We start from the raw sequence: 25,718 nt of genomic DNA, 5'->3' as shown, positions 1-25,718 counted from the left end.
TTTCCCAAGCTATCCAACCATCCCCAGCCCTTGGCACTTGACATCAGGATTTGGCAGAATTTCACTGGATCCCTCCCTTGTAGCCCACCACCCTTCAGGCCTTGACTTCTGTCCAGTAATGGCTTAGCTAATTTGGTAAATGTATCTGCTAACACCCATAGTGAAACTATGGCAGCTTTGAAAATTGGGCTTGGGAAGGATATTGGGGTGCTATATAATGATATTAAGTCCGAAGTTCTCAAGAAAATGTAAATCTCACCTCAGATTACAGCCATCCCTCCCACTAGGTCCTTAAAATGAATGAGCTTAAGGGCAGTTGGCAAGGAAAGCAAAGTACCCCTCAACTCAGAGCTGGGGCTGTAATAAGGGTTGGGGCACCTGGAATACTGCCTTTTCCTAAGCAACTTAAATGTAAATACTTCAGAGGGCTGCTCTAGGGCCTCTTCTTGGTGGAATGATGGTGGTGGCAAAGGTGAGATTGAGGGAAATTTGTTTTGTCTTCCTCTATCTCAACTTTAAATCAGAATATATTTTGCATGTTAAATCTTCCTTTCATAAATATGAAGATACGTTTTCTAAACCATCATTATTGAGTTAAGTCACACAATAGTACTTCAACTTCCTTTTCCTTTACTCCTCTCCACGTCAGCTATGAAGTGACTGGAATGGATGAGAATTGCCTTAAGTGCAGGATCCTCACATATGGAGTAATCAGGAAAATACCTTGAGGACTTGGCAAATAGGGATGTCCCAGCACTGCTGGTGCTGGCTGCCTGGTCATACACTGTCCCTATCTCAACTTTGTCTCCAGGCCTTACACTGCCCTTTTATGACTCCTTTTTCTTTTCTTCTTTAGAGCAGGCTTTGATGTTCATTTTAACTAAGTTCAAATGTTATGGGTGGGATGAGGAAAGTGCCACATGGGGTGGTCCCTGTGATGTCGCTGGACTCAAGACAGATCACTCACATTGTCCGCAATTACTTGTCCTGAAAGATTTGCACATGTGGAAATCCTTTCAACAGTAATGACTGCCAAAGGAAGGTTTTCAGCTCCAGGCTCGTAGGTACCCTTGCCTTGCACAGAGGAAGGTGAGGACTATATGAGCCTACCAGTATTATAGGGAGAAAACGGGTAAATATGTAGGCCAAGTTAAGGGAAAAATACCAGAGAAGGACCAGGTAATAAAGACCAGAGGAAAGGTGGAGGCAGGAAGGGAGGGAAGAAAATAAATACTGTTGAATAAAGAAGGAAAAATGATCAATTGAGGATGGGAGGCCTTATAATGGAACACTTCCATTTATATTTGAACATCTCAGATACACTACTGTGATACAGTACTGTGCCCCAAAGCCAAATATGTTATCATTGTTTTACAATAGAAACAGATACATTACAAGAAATAATCTCATCATGCTGAAAGCAATTAAATTGTTTAACTAGTCAGGATGATTTTACAAAATAAACGAAGTCACAGCAGGCAAAGTAGTAGGAATTTCAAAATGAACGACCACATTCATTAATGAGGGAAACACAGTAATTGCTATGGTCAAGCTGGAACACAGCAAGTGTTATCGATTGATTCAGTATTCACTAATTTTCCATTGAGAATCAATTCAAGTAGAAATCTAGATATGATATACTTTTTCCAAAAAGTGACCAAACAACACACACACATACACACACACACATACAACCTTCCCCTCCCACCCTTTTTTCTATTAGGAAATGAAATAATTATATACACTAAATGAGATGGTAAATTAAAAATAATGTTTAAGAGAGGAAGGCATAAAGGAAACTATCAATAAGTTAGAGCATAGAAGACTTTTGTAAGGTAGAAAATACCATAGGCAATATCCAAAGACATATGGCAAAATGCTTGTCACTTACATTGAAAGCATTTCCCCCCAAAGACAATATCTTTAATATATGAAGGGTCCTTATAAATAAATTTAACAATAAGTGGGCTCAATGTGAGCAAATCAATATGAAGACAAATAAAACAGTATTTTAGTTAAACTACCTCACTAGGGACCTGGTATATAAATGATATTTAGAAATAATTTTGATGACTATTACAGGATAAATAATGAAGCACATTTTACATTTTTGCAAGGCTTAATAAACATAAGTTTGATATGCTAAGAACACAACTGCTATAGCAAGTATTTGATAAAAAGGCTGCAGGCTGAGAAGAGATTATCAACAAAAGCATAATCTTCTAAATTTTTTTTTGAGAAGTTACCAAGTATCTTCTTTATTATTTTTAATTAATGAATGAATTAGTTTATAAATTTATACCACATTCAACTTATTCTACTAGGTATAAGCAAATCACATTGAGAATTACAAAAATTCCAGATGCATAGATCGTTCACAGACTATATATACTCCAGTAGGAAATATGAAGGACTTAAGTTGTTAACCATAATACCACATAAGGACAATATGAATGGGAATATTCAGTGCATTAGTTATGTTACAGAAATATGTGCAAATAAGTTTAAAATTAAGGCTTTGATGTAAATATTATAGAAAATACAATCATATATTTGAATTGCTAGTTACACTAGATAATCCCAAACTATATTCTTTTTTTTGTAATTTTTTTTATTATACTTTAAGTTCTAGGGTACATGTGCACAACATGCAGGTTTGTTACATATGTATACATGAGCCATGTTGGTGTGCTGCACCCATTAACTCGTCATTTACATTAGGTATATCTCCTAATGCTTTCCCTTCCCCCTCCCCCCACCGCACAACAGGCCCCTGTGTGTGATGTTCCCCTTCCTGTGTCCAAGTGTTCTCATTGTTCAATTCCCACCTATGAGTGAGAATATGCGGTGTTTGGTTTTCTGTCCTTGCAATAGTTTGCTGAGAATGATGGTTTCCAGCTTCATCCATGTCCCTACAAATGACCTGAACTCATCCTTTTTTTATGGCTGCATAGTATTCCATGGTGTATATGTGCCACATTTTCTTAATCCGGTCTATCATTGATGGACATTTGGGCTGGTTCCAAGTCTTTGCTATTGTGAATAGTGCCGCAATAAACATACGTGTGCATGTGTCTTTATAGCAGCATGATTTATAATCCTTTGTGTATATACGCAGTAATGGGATGGCTGGGTCAAATGGTATCTCTAATTTTAGATCCTTGGGGAATCGCCACACTGTCTTCCACAATGGTTGAACTAGTTTACAGTCCCACCAACAGTGCAAAAGTGTTCCTATTTCTCCACATCCTCTCCAGCACCTGTTGTTTCCTGACTTTCTAATGATCGCCATTCTAACTGGTGTGAGATGATATCTCATTGTGGTTTTGATTTGCATTTCTCTGATGGCCAGTGATGATAAGCATTTTTTCATGTGTCTTTTGGCTGCATAAATGTCTTCTTTTGAGAAGTGTCTGTTCATATCCTTTGCCCACTTTTTGATGGGGTTTTTTTTTCTTGTAAATTTGTTTGAGTTCATTGTAGATTCTGAATATTAGCCCTTTGTCAGATGAGTAGGTTGCAAAAATTTTCTCCCATTCTGTAGGTTGCCTGTTCACTCTGATGGTAGTTTCTTTTGCTGTGCAGCTCTTTAGTTTAATTAAATCCCATTTGTCAATTTTGGCTTTTGATGCCATTGCTTTTGGTGTTTTAGTCATGAAGTCCTTGCCCATGCCTATGTCCTGAATGGTATTGCCTAGGTTTTCTTCTAGAGTTTTCATGGTTTTAGGTCTAACATTTAAGTCTTTAATCCATCTTGAATTAATTTTTGTATAAGGTGTAAGGAAGGGATCCAGTTTCAGCTTTCTACATATGACTAGCCAGTTTTCCCAGCACCATTTATTAAACAGGGAATCCTTTCCCATTTCTTGTTTTTGTCACATTCATCAAAGATCAGATGGTTGTAGATGTGTCGTATTATTTCTGAGGCCTCTGTTCTGTCCCATTAGTCTTTATCTCTGTTTTGGTACCAGTACCATGCTGTTTTGGTTACTGTAGCCTTGTAGTATAGTTTGAAGTCAGGTAGCGTGATGCCTCCAGCTTTTTTTTTTTGGCTTAGGACCGTCTTGGCAATGCAGGCTCTTTTTTGGTTCCATATGAACTTTAAAGTAGTTTTTTCCAATTCTGTGAAGAAAGTCATTGGTAGCTTGATGGGGATGGCATTGAATCTATAAATTACCTTGGGCAGTATGGCCATTTTCACAATATTGATTCTTCCTATCCATGAGCATGGAATGTTCTTCCATTTGTTTGTATCCTCTTTTATTTCATTGAGCAGTGGTTTGTAGTTCTCCTTGAAGAGGTCCTTCACATCTGTTGTGAGTTGGATTCCTAGATATTTTATTCTCTTTGAAGCAATTGTGAATGGGAGTTCACTCATGATTTGACTCTCTATTTGTCTGTTATTGGTGTATAGGAACGCTTGTGACTTTTGCACATTGATTTTGTATCCTGAGACTTTGCTAACGTTGCTCATTAGCTTAAGGAGATTTTGGGCTGAGACAATGGGGTTTTCTAAATATGTAATCACGTCATCTGCAAACAGAGACAATTTGACTTCCTCTTTTCCTAATTGAATACCCTTTATTTCTTTCTCCTACCTGATTGCCCTGGGCAGAACTTCCAACACTATGTTGAATAGGAGTGGTGAGAGAGGGCATCCCTGTCTTGTGCCAGTTTTCAAAGGGAATTCTTCCAGTTTTTGTCCATTCAGTAAGATATTGGCTGTGGGTTTGTCATAAATAGCTCTTATTATTTTGAGATACGTCCCATGAATACGTAATTTATTGAGAGTTTTTAGCATGAATGGCTGTTGAATTTTGTCAAAGACCTTTTCTGCATCTATAGAGATAATCATGTGGTTTTTGTCTTTGGTTCTGTTTATATGCTGGATTATGTTTATTGATTTTTGTATGTTGAACCAGCCTTGCATCCCAGGGATGAAGCCCACTTAATCATGGTGGGTAAGCTTTTTGATGTGCTGCTGGAGTTGGTTTGTCAGTATTTTATTGAGGATTTTTGCATTGATGTTCATCAGAGATATTGGTCTAAAATTGTTTTTTTGTTGTGTCTCTGCCAGGCTTTGATATCAGGATGATGCTGGCCTCATAACATGAGTTAGGGAGGATTCCCTCTTTTTCTATTGATTGGAATAGTTTCAGAAGGAATGGTACCAGCTCCTCCTTGTACCTCTGGTAGAATTTGGCTGTGAATCCGTCTGGTCCTGAACTTTTTTTGATTGGTAAGCTATTAATTATTGCCTCAATTTCTGAACTTGTTATTGGTCTATTCAAGGATTCAACTTCTTCCTGATTTAGTCTTGTGAGGGTGTATGTGTCCAGGAATTTATCCATTTCTTCTAGATTTTATAGTTTATTTGCATAGAGGTGTTTATAGTAGTCTCTGATGGAAGTTTGTATTCCTGTGGGATCGGTGGTGATATCCCCTTTATCATTTTTTATTGCATCTATTTGATTCTTCTCTATTTTCTTCTTTATAAGTCTTGCTAGTGGTCTATCAATTTTGTTGATCTTTTCAAAAAACCAGCTCCTAGATTCATTGATTTCTTGAAGGGTTTTTTGTGTTTCTATCTCCTTCAGTTCTTCTCTGATCTTAGTTATTTCTTGCCTTCTGCTAGCTTCTGAACGTGTTTGCTCTTGCTTCTCTAGTTCTTTTAATTGTGATGCTAGGGTGTCAATTTTAGATCTTTCCTGCTTTCTCTTGTGGGCATTTAGTGCTATAAATTTCCCTCTACAAACTGATTTAAATGTGTCCCAGAGATTCTGATATGTTGTGTCTTCGTTCTCATTGGTTTGAAAGAACATCTTTATTTCTGCCTTCATTTCGTTATTTACCCAGTAGTCATTCAGGAGCAGGTTGTTCAGTTTCCATGTAGTTGTTTGGTTTTGAGTGAGTTTCTTAATCCTGAGTTCTAGTTTGGTTGCACTGTGGTCTGAAAGACAGTTTGTTATAATTTCTGTTCTTTTACATTTGTTGAGGCATGCTTTACTTCCAACTATGTGGTCAATTTTGGAATAAGAGCAATGTGGTGTTGAGAAAAATGTATATTCTGTTGATTTGGGGTGGAGAGTTCTGTAGATGTCTGTTAGGTCCGCTTAGTGCAGAGCTGAGTTCAATTCCTGGATATCCTTGTTAACTTTCTGTCTTGTTGATCTGTTTAATGTTGATAGTGGGGTGTTAAAGCCTCTCATTATTATTGTGTGGGAGTCTAAGTCTCTTTGTAGATCTCTAAGGACTTGCTTTATGAATCTGGGTGCTCCTTTATTGGGTGCATATATATTTAAGATATTTAGCTCTTCTTGTTGAAATGATCCCTTTACCATTATGTAATGGCCTTCTTTGTCTCTTTTGATCTTTGTTGGTTTAAAGTCTGTTTTATCTGAGACTAGGATTGCAACCCCTGCCTTTTTTTGCTTTCCATTTGCTTGGTACATCTTTCTCCATCCCTTTATTTTGAGTCTATGTGTGTCTCTGCAAGTGAGATGGGTCTCCTGAATACAGCACACTGATGGGTCTTGACTCTTTATCCAACTTGCCAGTCTGTGTCTTTTAATTGGAACATTTAGCCCATTTACATTTAAGGTTAATATTGTTATGTGTGAATTTGATCTTGTCATTATGATGTTAGCTGGTTATTTTGCTCATTAGTTGATGCAGTTTCTTCCTAGCATTGATAAGTCTTTACAATTTGTAATGTTTTTACGTTACATGCTTTCTTCCAGTTGATCAAATCAGCTACTGAAGCTTGTGCATTCATCACATAGTTCTCATGCCATGGTTTTCAGCTCCATCAGGTCATTTAAGGACTTCTCAACACCGGTTATTCCAGTTAGCCGTTTGTCTAATCTTTTTTCAAGGTTTTCAGCTTCTTTGCATTGGGTTTGAACTTCCTCCTTTAGCTCGGAGAAGTTTGATCGTCTGAAGCCTTCTTCTCTCAACTCATCAAAGTCATTCTCCATCCAGCTTTATTCCTTTGCTGGTGAGGAGCTGTGTTCCTTTGGAGGGGGAGATGTGCTCTGATTTTTAGAATTTTCAGCTTTTCTGCTCTGTTTTTCCCCCATCTTTGTGGTTTTATCTACCTCTGGTCTTTGATGATGGTGACATACAGATGGGGTTTTGGTGTGGATGTCCTTTCTGTTTGTTAGTTTTCCTTCTACAGTCAGGATCCTCAGCTGCAAGTCTGTTGGAGTTTGCTGGAGGTCCACTCCAGACCCTGTTTGCCTGGGTATCAGCAGCGGAGGCTGCAGAACAGCAAATATTGCTGAACAGTAAATGTTGCTTCCTGATCATTCCTCTGGAAGGTTCGTCTCAGAGGGGTACCCAGCTGTGTGAGGTGTCAATCTGCCCCTACTGGGGGGTGCCTCCCAGTTAGGCTACTCAAGGGTCAGGGACCCACTTGAGGAGGCAGTCTCTCTGTTCTCAGATCTCAAACTCCATGCTGGGAGAACCACTACTCTCTTCAAAGCTGTCAGACAGGGACATTTAAGTCTGCAGAGGTTTCTGCTGCCTTTTGTTTGACTATGCCCTGCCCCCAGAGGTGGAGTCTACAGAGGCAGGCCTCCTTGAGCTGCAGTGGGATCCACCCAGTTTGAGCTTCCTGGCCTCTTTGTTTACCTACTGAAGCCTCAGCAATGGTGGGCGCCCCTCCCCCGAGCCTCGCTGCTGCCTTGCAGTTCAATCTCAGACTGCTGTGCTAGCAATGAGTGAGGCTCCATGGGCGTGGGACCCTCCGAGCCAGGTACGGGATATAATCTCCTGGTGTGCCATTTGCTAAGACCATTGGAAAAGTGCAATATTAGGGTGGGAGTGACCCGATTTTCCAGGTGCCGTTTGTCACCCCTTCCCTTGGCTAGGAAAGGGAATTCCCTGACCCCTTGCTCTCCTTGGGTGAGGCGATGCCTCCTCACCCTGCTTCAGCTCACACTCAGTGGGCTGCACCCACTGTCCTTCCCCAACTGTCAGACGAGCCCCAGTGAGATGAACCCAGTACCTCAGTTGGAAATGCAGAAATCACCCATCTTCTTTGTTGCTCACACTGGGAGCTGTAGACTGGAGCTGTTCCTATTTGGCCATTTTGGAACTGCCCTTCAGTCTTCTAAATTTTTAATGTTGGTTGATGAGTCAGTTGATTGAATAATCTGTACAACAAACCCCTATGACACAAGTTTACCTATGTAACAAATCTGCACTTGTAACCCTGAACTTAAAATAAAGGTTAAAAAAAAGAATAAAAAGACCAGAACAAGACTGAACTTTGTTTAAATTCGTCTATGTCTGTTCTTGTACCAGTACCATGCTGTTTTGGTTACTGTAGGCCTGTAGCATAGTTTGAAGTCAGGTAGTGTGATGCCGCCAGCTTTGTTCTTTTTGCTTAGTGTTGCCTTGGCTATTCAGGCTCTTTTTTTGGTTCTATATGAATTTTAAAATAGTTTTTACTAGTTCTGTGAAGAATGTCAATGACAGTTTAATGGGAATAGCACTGAATCCATAAATTTCTTTGGGCAGTATAGGCTTTTTAATGGTAAATGATATTGATTCTTCCTGTCCTCCAGGTATTAAGCCTAGAACTCATTGGTTGTTTTTCCTGATCCTCCCACCCTCCACCCTCTGAAAGGCCCGAGTGTGTGCTGTTCTCCTCTGTGTGTCCATGTGTTCTCATCATTTTGTTCCCACTTACAAATCAGAACATGTGGTATTTGGTTTTATGTTCTTGTAGTTTGCTAAGAATAATGGCCTCCAGCTCCATCCATGTCTTTGCAAAGGACATGATCTCGTTTTTTTATGGCTGCATAGTACTTCATGGTGTATATATATCACATTTTATTTTTCCAGTCTATCATTGATGGACATTTAGGTTGACTCCATGTCTTTGCTCTTGTGAATAGTGCTGCAACAAACATATGTGTGCACATGTCTTTATAACAGAATGATTTATATTTCTTTGGGTATATACCCAGTAATGGAATGGTTGGGTAGAATGGTTATCCCAGCACCATTTATTGAAAAGGGAATCCTTTCCCCACTGTTTGTTTTTGTCAGCTTTGTTGAAGATCAGATGGTTGTAGGTGTGTAGCCTTATTTCTGGGCTTTCTATTTTATTTCACTGTCTATGTGTCTGTTTTTATAACAGTACCATGCTGCTTTGGTTACTGTAGCCCTGTAATATAATTTGAAGTTGGATAGCATGACACCTCCAGCTTTGTTCTTTTTGCTTAAGATTGCCTTGGCAATTCAGGCTCTTTGTTGGTTCCATATGAATTTTAAAATAGTTTTTTTCTAGTTCTGTGAAGAATGTCATTTGTAGTTTGACAGGAATAGCATTGAATCTATAAATTGCATTATAAAATTAAATCTATAAATGGCAGTATGGTCATCTTAATGATATTGATTCTTCTTGTTTATGAGCATGAAATATTTTTCCATTTGTTTTTGTCATTTCTGATTTATTTGAGCAGTATTTTGTAGCTCTTCTTGTAGAGATCTTCACCTCCCTGGTTAGCTGTATTCCTAGGTATTTTATTATTTTTGTGGCAATTGTGAATCAAAGTTTGTTCGTGATTTGGCTCTTGACTTGTTTGTTTTTGGTGTATAGGAATGATAGTGATTTTTGCACATCAGTTTTGTATCCTGAGACTTTGCTAAAGTTATTTATCTGCTTAAGAAGCTTTTGGGCTGAGATGATGGGGTTTTCTAGATATAGGATCCTGTTATCTGCAAATAGGGATAGTTGGACTTCCTCTCTTCCTATTTGAATGCTGTTTATTTTTCTTGCCTGATTGCCCTGGCCAGAACTTCCAATACTATGTTGAATAGGAGTGGTGAGAGAGGACATCCTTGTTTTGTGCTGGTTTTCAAGGAGAATGCTTCCAGCGTTTGCCCATTCAGTATGATGTTGGCTGTGGGTTTCTCATATATGGCTGTTATTATTTTTGAGGTATGTTCCTTTAATACCTAGTTTATTGAGAGTTTTTAACATGAATGGATGTTGAATTTTATTAAAAGCCTTTTCTGTATCTGTGGGGATAATCATGTGGTTTTTGTCTTTAGTTCTGTTTATGTGATGAATCACATTTATTGATTTGCATATGTTGAACCAACCTTGCTTCCTGGGGATGAAGCCTTCTTGATTGTGGTGGATAAGCTTTTTGATGTGCTGCTGGATTCAGTTTGTCAGTATTTTGTTGAGGATTTTTTGCATCAGTGTTCATCAAGGATATTGGCTTGAAGTTTTTGTTTGTTTGTTTGTTTGTTTCCATCTCTGTCAAGTTTTGGTATCAGGATGATGCTGGCCTCGTAGAATGAGTTGGGGAGGAGTTCCTCCTTTTCAATTTTTTAGAATAGTTTCAGTAGGAATGGTACCAGTTCTTCTTTGTACATCTGGTGGAATTCAGCTGTGAATTCATTTTGTCCTGGCCTTTTTTTGGTTGGTAGGCTATTTATTACTGCCTCAATTTCAGAACTCATTATTGGTCTGTTCAGGGATTCAGTTTCTTCCTGGTTCAGTCTTGGGATGGTGTATGTGTCCAGGAATTTATCCAATTCTTCTAGATTTGATGGCTTATGTGCCCAGAAGTGTTTATAACATTCTTGGATAGTTGTTTGCATTTCTGTGGGGTCAGGGGTAACATTCCCCTTTTCATTTCTCATTGTGTTTATTTAAATCTTCTCTCTTTTCTTCTTTATTAGTCTAGCTAGTGGGCTATCTATTTTATTATTTTTTTCAAAAGACCGGCTCCTGATTCACTGGTCTTTTGAATGTTTTTTCATGTCTCTATCTCCTTCAGTTCAGCTCTGATTTTGGTTATTTCTTGTCTTCTGCTGGCTTTGAGGTTTGTTTGCTCTTGGTTCTCTAGTTCTTTTAGTTGTGATGTTAGGTTGTTAACTTGAGATCTTTCTAACATTTTGATGTGGGCATTTAGTGCTATAAATTTCCCTATTAACACCGTGTTAGCTGTCCCAAAGATTCTGGTATGTTGAATCTTTTTTATCATTAGTTTCAAAGAACTTGATTTCTGCCTTAATTTCATTATTTACCCAAATGTCTTTCAGGAGTACTTTATTCAATTTCTATGTAATTGTATGGTTTTAAGTGAATTTCTTAGTCTTGAGTTCTAATTTGCTTGCACTGCTGTCTGAGAGACTGTTTGTTATGATTTCAGTTCTTTTGCATTTGCTGAGGAGTGTTTTACCTCTGATTATGTGATCAATTTTAGAGTAAGTGCCATGTGGTCATAAGAAGAATGTATATTCTCTTGTTTTTGGGTGGAGAGTTCTATAGATGTCTATCAAGTCTGCCTGACCCAGAGCTGAGTTCAGGTCCTAAATATCTTTGTCTAATATTGTCAGTGGGATGTTAAAGTCTCCCACTATTATTTTGTGTAAGTCTAAGTCTCTTTGAAGGTCTTTAAGAACTTACTTTATGAATCTGAGTGCTCCTGTGTTGGGTACATATATATTTAGAATACTTAGATCTTCTTGTTCAATTGAACACTTTATCTTTATGTAATGCCCTTCTTCATCTTTTTTGATCTTTGTTGGTTTAAAGTTTGTTTTGTCACAAACTAGGATTGCAACCCCTACTTTTTTCTGTTTTCCATTTGCTTGGTAGATTTTCCTCCATCCTTTTATTTTGAGCCTATGTGTGTCACTGCATGTGAGATGGGTCTTTTGAAGATAGCATACCAATGGGTCTTGCTTCTTTATCCGCTTGCCACTCTGTGTCTTTTAGTTGGGGCATTTAGCCCATTTACATTTAAGGTTAGTATTGATATGTGTGGATTTGATCTTGTCATCATGATATTAGCTGGCTTTTTGCAGACTTGTTTATGTGGTTGCTTTGTAACATCACTGGTCTGTGTGCTTCAGTGTGTTTTTGTAGTGGCTAGTAATGGTCTTTCCTTTTCATATTTAGTGCTTCCTTCAGGAACTCTTTTAAGGAATTTCTGGTGGTGATGAATTCCCTCAGCATTTGCTTGTCTGAAAAGGATCTTACTTCTCCTTCACTTATGAAGCTTATTTTGGGGTATGAAATTCTTGTTTGGAATTTCTTTTCTTTAAGAATGTTGAATATTGGCCCCCAATCTGTTTTGGCTTATACAGTTTCTGCTGAGAGGTCCATTATTATAGTCTGGTGGGCTTTCCTTTGTAGGTGACCTGGACTTCTCTAGCTGCCCTTAACATTTTTTCTTTCACTTGGACCTTGGAGAATCTGATGATTATGTGTATTGGGGATGATCTTCTTGTGGAGTATCTTAATGAGGTTCTCTGCATTTCCTGAATTTGAATGTTGGCCTGTCTAGCTATGTTGGGGAAGAATGTAACTGACCTGATAGAGCTGAAAAACACACTATAAGAATTTCATAATACAATCACTGGATGATATCCTGAAATATGTTTTCCAAATTGGTTCCATTCTCCCCATCTCTTTCAAGTACACCAATCAGTCATAGATTTGGTCTTTTTACATAATCCCATTCTCCAGTTTTTTGATGTTTTGTTCGGTCCTTTTTATTCTTTTTTCTCTATTCTTGTATGCCTGTCTTATTTCAGAAAGACAGCCTTCAAGCTCTGAGATTGTTTCCTCTGCTTGGTCTATTCTGTTACTAATACTTGTGATTGCATTATGAAATTCTTGTAGTGTGTTTTTCAGCTCTATCAGGTCAGTTACATTCTTCACTATACTGACTATTTTCTCTGCCAGCTCCTGCAATGTTTTATCATGATTTTTAGTTTCCCCCCATTGGGTTACAATGTGCTCATTTAGCTCAGTGAACTTCATTAGTATCCACATTCTGAAGCCTGTTTCTGTCATTTGAGCCATCTCAGTTTCAGCCTGGTTCTGAACCCTTGCTAGAGAGAGGCTGCAGTCATTTGGACAAAAGAGGGCACTCTGGTTTTTTGAGTTTTCAGCATTCTTGTGCTGATTTTTTCACATCATTGTGGGCTTATCTATCTTCAATCTTTGAGGTTGCTGACCTTTGGATGGTTTTATTTTTATTTTATTTGAACAGTCTGGCCACTTTTCCATTGGGCTCCTGTGGTTTGCTTGGGGTCTGCTCTAGTCCCTAGTTACCTCAGATTTTCCAGTACCTGGAAGTATCACAAGCAAAGGCTGCTGTGAAACAGCAAAGATGGCAGCCTGCCCTTTCCTCTGGGAGCTCTGTCCCAGGGAGGTATGGACTTGTTGCTGGTCCAAATGCAACTGTAGGAGGTGGCTGGAGATCCTGGCTGGGACTCTCACCCTAGTCAGGAGGAATGGGATTGGGAACCTGCTTAAAGAAGCAGTCTGGCCATGCCTTTGTAGAGCAGCTGTGCTGTGCTAGGGTACCACTTCTGAACAGGCTGGAACATCTAAGTCTCCCAAACAGCCTGCCCATACCCCCAGGAACTTTGTCCTAGGGAGAATTCATACCACTGTAGGCCAGAGAACATTGGCAGGGATGGCTGGAGGCCCCAGTTGGAAGGTCCTGCCGAGTGAGGAGGAACAGATTGGGGACTTGCTTAAAGAAGTAGTCTGGCCACATTTTGGTAAAGCAGCTGTGCTGTGCCGGGGGTCCCCTTCCATCCCTGGTTGTTTTGGACTCTCCAAAGCCTCCAGGATGGAACGGCTGAGTTGCCCAAACAGGAAAAATGGAGGCCCATCCCTTCCCCCAGGAAATCCATCTCAGGTGGTTGTGACACTGTTGCGGGTGGCTGGCTGGAATTCCAAGTGGTGACTCTTATCCTGTGAGGCACTGTGGAAGTGGGGCCTCCAGAATGTCACTGCTTGGCCCCCTGGATTCAGCCTCTTTCCTAAAGGTATGCACAGAGGACTAACCTCCCACTTTGCTGGGTTACTTTTCCTGGGTACTTTTGCCAGGAAGCCCAGACTGGAGTATGTAAAGCTCCTGGGCCTCTGTGCATGCCTGAGAGGCTGATCTGCCGAGACTCCCTGTAGTTCTGTTTGTCAGACTGATGGCCCTGGTGGAGTGGGTTCATGAGGGATCTCCTGAGCTGAGGGTTGCAAAGATTTGTCGGAGAAACATGATTTCCTGGGGTTGCACATTTACTCACCACTTCCGTGGGAGGAGGAAGTTCCCTTGGCTCCATGTTGCTCCTGGGTGGGCCATCATTTTGCCTTGCTTTTCTCTGTTCTCTGTGGGTTGAATTGCTTCTTTGATTAGTCCCAATGTGAGTACCTGGATGTTTCAGTCGAAGGTGCTGTGTTTACTTGCCCCTTTCATTCCTCTCTGTGAGAGCCACGAACCCTAGCTGCTTCTAGTCGGCCATCTTGATCACTCACCCTCTTTTTTTTTTTTTTTTTTTAAGAGATGGGGGTTCTCACTATGTTGTCCAGGCTGAACTCAAATTCCTGGGTTCAAGTAATCCTCTGCCTAAGCCTCCCAAGTAGCTGGGACTGTAGGCATATACCATCTTGCCCAGCTTTAGTTCTGGTATATGACTTCTAAGGGCCTTTGAACACTAAGGTGTACTGTTAATAACCAAGGGGTTATGTGGTATGCTAAGTTTCTGGGACTTTCTGGACCACAGAACAGTTCTTTTTATAGAGCATGGTTTTCACAGATTCTACAGAACTCAGGATGGAAGACACTGTGAGGATTTTTCCCACTCCCAGAATGTCAACCATCAACTGCATTGTGGATTTGTTTTTCTACCTTGACCTCTCTTCATAATATTGCTCCAATAACTTTTTCTTCTACTGCTCTCCTCTTACTTCCTTACTGTTAAGTAAAAATTGATTATTTTCTACTCACTAACTCCATGCCAGTCAAGCACTTACCCTATTACTCACGTGTTATGGGAAATGCCACTTTCTCCACAGTGTTTTCTGATCATTCCAGATGGAAGTGCTTTTTCCTTTTTCTAAAAGTAGTAGGGACCCATAGAAGTGACAGAGTCAACATCTTGCACAATATTATTATATTTTCATATTTTCCCTATTTATCTCTCTGTTCATCTCTGAGATTGGTAACTTCCTGAGGGCTGCATCTATGCACTTTGTACCAGCAAGAAATACTCTGAACTGCAAATAACAGGGAATCTAACAGAAATGGACTTAAACAATGAGGAAATTCCTTTTATCGCATAATAAGAAGCTCAGAGGGAAGGTGGCACCAGGGTTGATCAATACAGTGCTCAATGTTGCTATCAAGACTCTGATGTGCTTTCCCAGTCCTCATACTCACTAACCTTGTGTCCCAGGTGTCACATCTGGCCACAACAAGGATAAAGGGAAGGAGGGAGCAGCTGTTCCTATAGGTGCCTTTTAGGATTGCACATTTTCCCAAGAAGCACCTCTCCCCTCTCACATCTCACTGGACAGAACAACATCACATGCTTTCCTGAAGCCAGTCACCAGCAAGGGAATAGAATTTTCCATTGGACTGACTTAGACATATCCGCCGAGTTGGGATTTGGGTCATCATCAGTGAGGAAGACAGACATGAACAAAATAAATGTTCCATTAGCAAGGTTGGGAATAGCATATGTTACACCTTAATATTCCTCTGTTTAGCCCCCACAGAGTACACTGTACATTCTATAGACTTGCTAAGTGAGTAAACAAACGGTTGTGCCAAATGCATTTAGTCAAGATTTTATAACTTGTCATCTGTCGACTACCTTTCCTGACTTTCTATGGGGAAGATTAAAAATTTACCTTACAGTGGAAATATTCACAGGTGAACATTTATAGTTGTTAATTGTATATTCTAAATACTAAAGCCTTTTCTCCCTGTATTCTTTACACCAGTAATATCAGGAACTAGGGATATAATAGAGTCATTTTGAATAAAGGTCTCCAAGGGAATTCACAATGATAAAATAAAAATAACATAAAATAGATTCTAAATTAAGATTTTCATTGTTTTCCTCAACAAAATTTTAATGTTGAGAAGCTTCTTTTCTATTTGCTTATGTCCAAGATAGCAACCATATTTCACTGTAAGTGATTTGATGCCAATAGTTGAATCAGTCTGTATTTTAACTTAGTATTTCCTCCAGACATTCTTTGAACATGTGTCAACAGGAAAGAACATGTTTCAAAATCCACTTCTGCCCATTTCTCTCTTAATAAACAAAATGAAGTTTCAATATCTGTCTTTTAGTTCCCTCCATGCTTTCTGAAATTTGCCAAAAAACACAGAATTACCAGAACTGGTCAAATCGATTCAAGATCAAATTTGGAAGCAGGTGATGAATCCTGCCATCTCCACTCTCAGTGTTTCTGTTTCTCTGAACAGTCCTCTTCTGCAAGGGTTTAATTGTCAGCAAATATCCACCAACATCTCACTGCTCAAGAATAATTTAAAGTGTTGTCACTTTTCAGTGTATTCTCATTTTATTTAGTGTTTCTTAAATATTAAAAAAAATTGAAGATTCAGAGGAAGGATTTCCACTGATGAGATGCCCAGAGTGATGACAGGGATGGAGATAGTTTGGATTGAGAATATTCCTTGTTCCTGTTAAATCACACCACATGGGCATCACCTGCTTTGAGTATGTAACAATCTGGCACTAGGCATGATGTTTTGTTTTTGCATGTTGTTGGGTCACAGATGAGCCAGAAGCCTTTGTGTGGTTGTTGCCCGGGGATATTTAAAACTGTCACACTGGAAGGACTAAGCAAATGCATTTTCTGCCCAATGTGTATGTATGTTATGCGGAAGATGACTAGAGAAATATTTTAAAGTTTGGATTTCAGTCAGAAAGTACTATTTTCACTAACATCAGTTTTAAACACCTCTCTGAAGAAGCAAAGAACCTAAAGAGTGAGGCCCCCAGGCAGAGGATGGAGCATCCAGTCTACAGATTGCATTCACATGCACATATACACATGCACACATGAGCGCACACAGGTATACAAGCCATTTCCAATGTAATAAATAGTAAGACTAATGGAAGTCGGGCAGTAGCATAGCATGATGTTAGGGAAGAAGGTCTAGTCCCAGAGTGGCACTTCCCCTATGTTCCTAACTTGCTTTAAGAACAAAGTCTTCTGGAGTCAGAGTCAGAAAAATGTCCTCGTGACTCACTCAATAGGACCCAAGGACCCAAGCCAGCAGGTTACAGTACTGGCTGATATTATGCAAAAAACAAAAACAAAAACAACCCAAATCAAAGCCAAGAATGCTTGTTGTGGAATCCAAACCGAAGTGCTCAAAGTGTTCTATAAGACAAGGAAGTTTTCAATAACTCATAATTCAGGGAGGAAGGAAAACTCTTCTAGCAGACAAGTCACGTTCCATCCCAGACATCTAGAACACTTCCATTGTTTATTCTTAAGGCTTTTATTCCCAGATGTTGTTTTGTGAATGTGTCAGAAGAGATCCAGGGAAGGGAGACTGCTGATGAGGCAGATTATGTGCATCCAAATGACCAATACACTTGCAGAAAAGGGTCAGAAAACTGATGGGAAATCTCTGGGTCAAAAACTAGCAGATGGTAAACCTATCTTCCATTTTAGAAATAACTTTTTGGGGGAAATCCCTTCATTTTCAAATTTTAAAGTAGTAATAACAATCACTGGCAACAATTGGCACCCTGAACTATATTTTCAACTTACTAAATAAAGATTACTCTTCTGATGGGAAAACAAGGAATAAAAGAAGCAGGCAGCCAGCATTTTGCCAAGTAAATCAGAGCAAAGCCAAGACTCCGTAGCAATTTAGCAATGAAGGCTCAATCCCTGCTGAAATTTATACTATAGAGAGAGAGTCAAGTAAGTCCCGGACATAAAACAAGATCAACAAGGAACATACATAGAAGGATTATCAGAATGTGGGCAATGCAAGTAAGAGACGAGAGATAATTCAGACAAATCTACAACAGGGATTATTCTTTTATTTATTTATTTTTTAAATTATACTTTGAGTTCTAGGGTACATGTGCACAACGTGCAAGTTTGTTACATATGTATACATGTGCCATGTTGGTGTGCTGCACCCATTAACTCATTATTTACATGAGGTATTTCTCTTAATGCTATCCCTCCCCCTTCCCCACATCCCATGACAGGTCCCGATGTGTGATGTGTATTGTTCCCTGCCCTGTGTCCATGTGTTCTCATTGTTCAATTCCCACCTATGAGTGAGAACATGCAGTGTTTGGTTTTCTGTCCTTGCAAGAGTTTGCTCAGAATGATGGTTTCCAGCTTCATCCATGTCCCTACAAAGGACATGAACTCATCCTTTTTTATGGCTGCATAGTATTCCATGGTGTATATGTACCACATTTTCTTAATCCAGTCTGTCATTAATGACATTTGGGTTGGTTCCAAGTTTTTGCTACTGTGAATGGTGTTGCAATAAACGTACGTGTGCATGTGAATTTATAGTAGCATGATTTATAATCCTTTGGGTATATACCCAGTAATGGGATGGCTGGGTCAAATGGTATTTCTAGTTCTAGATCCTTGGGGAATCGCCACACTGTCTTCTGCAATGGTTGAACTAGCTTACAGTCCCACCAACAGTGTAAAAGTGTTCCTGTTTCTTCACATCCTCTCTAGCACCTGTTGTTTCCTGACTTTCTAATGATCGCCATTCTAACTTGTGTGAGATGGTATCTCATTGTGGTTTTGATTTGCATTTCTCTGTTAATCAGTGATGATGAGCATTTTTCCATGTGTCTGTTGGCTGCATAAATGTCTTCTTTTGAGAAGTGTCTGTTCATATCCTTTGCCCACTTTTTGATGGGGTTGTTTGATTTTTTCTTGTAACTTTATTTGAGTTCTTTGTAGATTCTGGTTATTAGCCCTTTGTCAAGTAGGTAGATTGCAAAGATTTTCTCTCATTCTGTAGGTTGCCTGTTCACTCTGATGGTAGTTTCTTTTGCAGTGCAGAAGCTCTTTAGTTTAATTAGATCCCATTAATTAGATCTATTTTGGCTTTTGTTGCCACTGCTTTTGGTGTTTTAGTCATGAAGTCCTTGCCCATGCCTATGTCCTGAATGGTATTGCCTAGGTTTTCTTCTACAGGTTTTATGGCTGTAGGTGTAACATTTAAGTCTTTAATCCATCTTGAGTTAATTTTTGTATAAGGTATAAGGAAGGGATGCAGTTTAAGCTTTCTACATATGGCTAGACAGTTTTCCCAGCACCGTTTATTAAACAGGGAATCCTTTCCCCATTTCTTGTTTTTGTCATGTTCAGCAAAGATCAGATGGTTGTAGATGTGTAGTGTTATTTCTGAGGCCTCTGTTCTGTCCCATTAGTCTATATCTCCGTTTTGGTACCAGTACCATGCTATTTTGGTTACTGTAGCCTTGTAATATAGTTCGAAGCCAGGTATCATGATGCCTCCAGCTTTGTTCTTTTTGCTTAGGATTGTCTTGACAATACGGGCTCTTTTTTCATTCCATATGAATTTTAAAGTAGCTTTTTCCAATTCTGTGAAGAAAGTCATTGGTAGCTTGATGGGGATGGCATTGAATCTATAAATTACCTTGGGCAGTATGGCCATTGTCACAATATTGATTCTTCCTATCCATGAGCATGGAATGTTCTTCCATTTGTTTGTGTCCTCTTTTATTTCATTGAGCAGTGGTTTGTAATTCTCCTTGAAGAGGTCCTTCACATCCCTTGTAAGTTGGATTCCTAGATATTTTATTCTCTTTGAAGCAATTGTAAATGGGAGTTCACTCATGGTTTGGCTCTCTGTTTGTCTGTTATTGGTGTATAAGAATGCTTGTGATTTTTGCACATTGATTTTGTATCCTGAGACTTTGCTGACGTTGCCTATCAGCTTAAGGAGATTTTGGGCTGAGACAATGGGGTTTTCTAGATATACAATCATGTCATCCGCAAACGGGGACAATTTGACTTCCTCTTTTCCTAATTGAATACCCTTTATTTCTTTCTTCTACCTGATTGCCCTGGCCAGAACCTCTAACACTATATTGAATAGGAGTTGTGAGAGAGGGCATCCCTGTCTTGTGCCAGTTTTCAAAGGGAATTCTTCCAGTTTTTGTCCATTCAGTATGATATTGGCTGTAGGTTTGTCATAAATAGCTCTTATTATTTTGAGATATGTCCCATCAATACCTAGTTTATTGAGAGTTTTTAGCACGAAGGGCTGTTGAATTTTGTCAAATGCCTTTTCCGTGTCTATTGAGATAATCATGTGGTTTTTGTCTTTGGTTCTGTTTATGTGATGAATTACATTATTGACTTGCATATGTTGAACCAGACTTGCATCCCAGGGATGAAGCCAACTTGATTATGGTGGATAAGCTTTTTGATGTACTGCTGGAGTCGTCTTGCCGGTATTTTATTGAAGATTTTTGCTTCGATGTTCATCAGGGATATTGGTCTAAAATTCTCTTTTTTTGTTGTGTCTCTGCCAGGCTTTGGTATCAGGATGATGCTGGCCTCATAAAATGAGTTAGGGAGGATTCCCTTTTTTTCTATTGATTGGAATAGTTTCAGAAAGAATGGTACCAGCTCCTCCTTGTACCTCTGGTAGAATTTGGCTGTGAATCCATCTGGTCCTGGACTTTTTTTTGTTGGTAGGCTATTAATTATTGCCTCAATTTCAGAGCCTGTTATTGGTCTATTCAGGGATTCAACTTCTTCTTGGTTTAGTCTTGTGAGGGTGTATGTGTCCAGGAATTTATCCATTTCTTCTAGATTTTCTAGTTTATTTGTGTAGATGTGTTTATAGTATTCTCTGATGGTAGTTTGTATTTCTGTGGGATCGGTGGTGATAACCCCTTTATCATTTTTTATTGCATCTATTTGATTCTTCTCTCTTTTCTTTTTTGTTAGTCTTGCTAGTGGCCTATTTTGCTAATTTTTTCAAAAAACCACCTCCTGGATTCATTGATGTTTTGAAGGATGTTTTGTGTTTCTATCTCCTTCAGTTCTGCTCTGATCTTAGTTATTTCTTGCCTTCTGTTAGCTTTTGAATGTGTTTGCTCTTGCTTCTCTAGTTCTTTTAATTGTAATGTTAGGGTGTTGATTTTAGATCTTGCCTTCTTTCTCTTGTGGGCATTTAGTGCTATAAATTTCCCTCTACACACTGATTTAAATGTGTCCCAGAGATTCTGATATGTTGTGTCTTTGTTCTCATTGGTTTGAAAGAACATCTTTATTTCTGCCTTCATTTCATTATTTACCCAGTAGTCATTCAGGAGCAGGTTGTTCAGTTTCCATGTAGTTTGGTTTTGAGTGAGTTTCTTAATCCTGAGTTCTAGTTTGATTGCACTGTGGTCTGAGAGACAGTTTGTTGTGATTTCTGTTCTTTAACATTTGCTGAGGAGTTCTTTACTTCCAACTATGTGGTCAATTTTGGAATAAGTGGGATGTGGTGCTCAGAAGAATGTATATTCTGTTGATTTGGGGTGGAGAGTTCTGTAGATGTCTATGAGGTCTGCTTGGTGCAGAGCTGAGTTCAAGTCAACAGGGATTATTCTTGTATTAGTTCTTTTTCATGCTGCTGATAAAGACATACACAAGACTGGGTAATTTGCAAAGAAAAAGAGGTTTAATGTACTCACAGATCCACGTGGCGAGGGAGGCCTCACAATCATGGCGGAAGGTGAAAGGCTGTCTTACACGGTGGCAGCTAAGAGAGAATGAGAGCCAAGGGAAAGACAAAACCCCTTATAAAAACATCAGACATTGTGAGACTTATTCTCTACCACGAGAAGAGGATGGGAGAAACTGCCCCCATGATTCAATTATCTTCCACTGAATCCCTCCCACAACACGTGGGAATTATGGGAGGTACAATTCAAGATGAGATTTGGATGTGGACACAGCCAACCCATACCAATTCTGTTTTCTCGAATTCGCTAGTGAATACAAAGTATATATCTGAACCTGCACCATTATACTATTTTGGAGTATGTATATATACACATATGGGTATGTTTATATATGTGTTTTTCAAGGTAATTGTTTAGTAAACTTGATATAAATGGATTAAATTATTATTAACAGGTCCTTTTACTGTTTAGCATCTTGATTTAAAGAAATAGCTCATGTAGGATGACTCTCCAGGCAGAACAAAACCCACCTGAGTATGGAAGCAAATTATAGCACTTCTTTTCCTAAGCATGGAAGTCCATTACAACACTTCTTTCAGGATGTTGTTTTAACAAAGCACATAAACATGTCTGGATGGATCACAAGTGTTAGAACCACTGTGATTCCTCTTTCAATCAGATCCTGTCAGAATTATTATTATTTTTGTTTGAGACAAGGTCTTGTTGTGTTGCCTGGAGTACAGTGGTGAGATCTCAGCTCACTGCAACTTCCATTTTCAGGGCTCAAGCAGTCCTCCCACATCAGCCTTCTGAGCAGCTGAGACTACAGGGATGTACCATCATGCCCCGTTAATTTTTGTATTTCTGGTAGAGACAGAGTTTTGCCATATTGCCCAGTCTGGTCTCAAACTCCTGGGCTCAAGTGATCCTTCTGCCTCAGTCTCCCAAAGTGCTGGGATTATAGGCATGTGCCACCATGCCCGGCCCCTGTCGGAAAACTGAATCTCACTCAGGTGGTTCAGATAAGAGATTTAATAAGGGGACAACTCACAGACGGTCAGGCAGGGCTGAGGGACTTGAGGCACCCAGTGACATGCAAAGGCAGGAAGCTGCTCCGGATAGCCCAGCAAGAGCTGAGCTGTGGAGGAGGGGCTGCTCAGCAGGATCTGTAAGCACTGAGGGGTACAGGCCCTGCTAGAAACGAAGGCCAGAGCATAGGGAAGAGATACCATGGCCCCGGTCTCCTCCTCTGATCCTCTGTGGGTGTCTCCTAAAGGCCAAACCCAGCCAGATGCCAAGGGTAGGGGTACCTGGGTGATATAGTCCATAGAGGGCATAAGGCAGGGCAAGAAAGAGTGGAGATTGGATTTGCGGTGGGTAGGGACAAATGGAGAAAACCCACATGATACTTTAGAAATTTGTTATTTGTGCTCAGATAGAAAAGTCCAAATCCCTTCTCTGGCCATAGGCAGGGCCTAGATGGGCAATGTGGGTGGTAGGTATGTGACTGTATGGAGCGGCCCTCATCTGGTAGAGGTGATGGTTAGCTTGTTAAATGTGATTGGCTGTTCTCGCCTGAAAAGATGGGCCTCTCCATGGAAGCCTAGATGCGCCAGTGCTTATGACAAACAATCCTGGTCAGCCTATGATCAAGCCAGGAGAGGGGCTGGTGCTTCTCCCACCACAAATGCTGCCTTGGGGTATTCTTCAGCTAGCTTACACATCCTGGAGCCGCAAGCCTCAGTTTCAGCCCCCACTGTGCCGGGAAAGAGCAGCCTCTCCTAAGCATGCATGCTGAGTGATGGTACAGGGCTGGAGTTAGGTACTGACACGTCATGTTAGTCTTGTGTCCCATTTCTGATCACACCAGGGAAGGAGCTGGAAAGCTGTACAGACCAAAGTCTAGTTCTGTTTGACTCCCTGTTCATTGCTCTACGTGGGTCACAGGGAAACTGATCCTGTCTCCCCTGGGAACTGCTTTGTCAGATCTTGTGTGTGTGGACTACTTTGCCATTTGCTCTTGTTTGCAAGATGCTGGGGCTGAAGCTCAGGATAGCATGGCTGGCAGCAGGGCTCCCACAGCTGACATGGACAGTTCTCCTATTCCCCAGACCTCTAGCCAGCACCTCCTTTAATCAACTGCATGCCAGCTCATGGGGCCAAGACGACTGCACACCACTCAGCTATGATGTTTTGCAAAGTGAGATGATCAGTGGGATGAATACTGAATGTTGTGACCCAGCATGTTTGGCATTAATCCCTCACCTGTGGCTCAGTGGGCAGACTTCACAATGGGCTGACAAATTAAAAAGGAAAAGCAAAATAGACGTGCCCATGAAAAACACAGTTACATAATTGCCCTTGAATAAATTAGTAATATTTATTTGTGGTGCACTGCAAGTTGCTCAATGATGTCCGTATTTATTTCTGACTGTTTTTCAAATGGCTCAATTTTGTCTTTCATCCCTCCATTGGAAATAAGGCTTTGACTTCCATTCATTTTGTTTGGGGGGAAGGTATTGTGGGGAAAATGTGGCTTTTCTATTGCACTGAAGCCCACTTTGTCAGGGATCCAAGTGGCTATAGCAACTAAGTCTCCTGTTGAATCTTCCTCTAGACTCAATCCCTGAAAATTAGTTGGAACAGATTAGAGAGGGCTCTGTGAAATGCGTCTTTTGGTTTCAGAGGGGCAGTGAGCTGGAAGGCTCATCCGTTCTTTGATCCTCCATGACTTCTCTGATCCTGCAAGTCCGTGTGACTCATCTCATACAAGGTTTTGTTGTTTTACTCCCTTGGAAACTGTTGGACTGTTATAAATAAAGCCCACTCCTAGCTGTCTTGAACTTCAGCCTCTCAACTGGATTCTGCAGACCTCAAAGCCCCTAGAATCCTGGACGAATGCTGAGGACTCTTTCCAAATATGTAAGGCCATGTCTGTAGAAACAAACCACTTTGTTTGGTGTTAAATTGATTTTTCAACGGGTTGATTCAAGCTTCATTCCCTCCCTTGCTCCCAAGTAAATTGAATCAAAGGGTTTGGTGGGTGGAAACACAGCTTGAACTTCTGTCACTTCCCAGGGACCATTGTGTATCCGCTTGGGTGCTCTAAGGAGACCAGGAATCACGGGGTCATGGGGAGCTGGGGCAGCAGGGATGTCTCTTGGAGGCCCTGCCAAAGGCCATGTTGTCATCAACATATTTTGAGTGCTCACTACTTACCAGGCATTGAAGTAAGTATTCTCGTATGTCTCTTTTTGCATCTTGGGAAATAGAAGTCCAGAGATTTAAACATTGTGCTCAGTTTGTACTGTTAGTAAGTTGTGTACTCAGGATTCCCACTCGGATGGTCTGCCTTCAGAGTGTATGCTCTATATTGTGAAGTCAATTTGCTGCTTCCACCTCCCTTTAATTCCTGATGGAGGAGGCAGGGGTCACAGGGAGTGGTGCACTTGGTACAAGAGAGGGTGGTAGAGAGGAAGGTGACTTGATAAACTCCCACCCACTAATGTGTTAGTGATGCAATGTTACAGTGACCTCTGGCATTTTAATTTTAAAAGTAGTTGAAGAGGCCAGGCATGGTGGCTCATGCCTGTAATCCCAGCATTTTGGGAGGCCAAGGTGGGCAGATTGCCTGAGGCCAGGAGTTCAAGACCAGCCTGGCCAACATGGTGAAATCCTGCCTCTACTAGAAATACAAAAAAATTAGCCAGTCGTGGTGGTGGGCGCCTGTAATTCCAGCAACTCGGGAGGCTGAGGCAGGAGAATCGCTTGAACCCAGGAGGTGGAGGTTGCAATGAGCCAAGACTGCGTCACTGCCTTCCAGCCTGGGTGACATAGCGAGAGTCTGTCTCAAAAAAAAATTGGTTGAAGAGAGAGAGCCCTCCTTAAACACCACTCCTTGAGACCTTGGGCAGGTGGGAGGAAGCCGAAGGAAGGGGATGAGGACTATCCCATTCACTTTCCCATGGAGGGGTGGGCTCTATGAGGCTGGTCTTTGAAGTTGGCTTATATTTTTTCTAGACACTATGTCATTCATTGAGCATCTACTATGTGTAAGACCTAAGCCAGGCATTGTGAAAACCACACAATGATCATAAAACGATTCTTGCTCATTGCGAACTAGAGGGCCCCTGCATGTAGAAGACTGTGCAAGAAGTCCAGAAATGCAAAATTTGGGTTGGGCAAGGGATTAATTTGGGCCTGGAGGAAGTTGG

General features: G+C 40.4%; 1 annotated feature.

Moving 5' to 3' along the window:
• Positions 23,062-23,255: a silencer, noted in NCBI's record as "fragment chr5:54293529-54293722 (GRCh37/hg19 assembly coordinates)". NCBI's record gives its function as "represses an EF-1alpha promoter that drives an FKBP-Casp9 reporter gene in an ReSE screen in K562 erythroleukemia cells {active_cell/tissue: K562}" and the evidence as "EXISTENCE:reporter gene assay evidence [ECO:0000049][PMID:32094911]".

The sequence above is a fragment of the Homo sapiens genome, chromosome 5 (genome assembly GCF_000001405.40).
Source record: "Homo sapiens chromosome 5, GRCh38.p14 Primary Assembly".
Lineage (NCBI taxonomy): Eukaryota > Metazoa > Chordata > Mammalia > Primates > Hominidae > Homo > Homo sapiens.
Note: the sequence above shows the minus strand (reverse complement) of the source record. Positions and strands in the feature narration are given on the sequence as shown.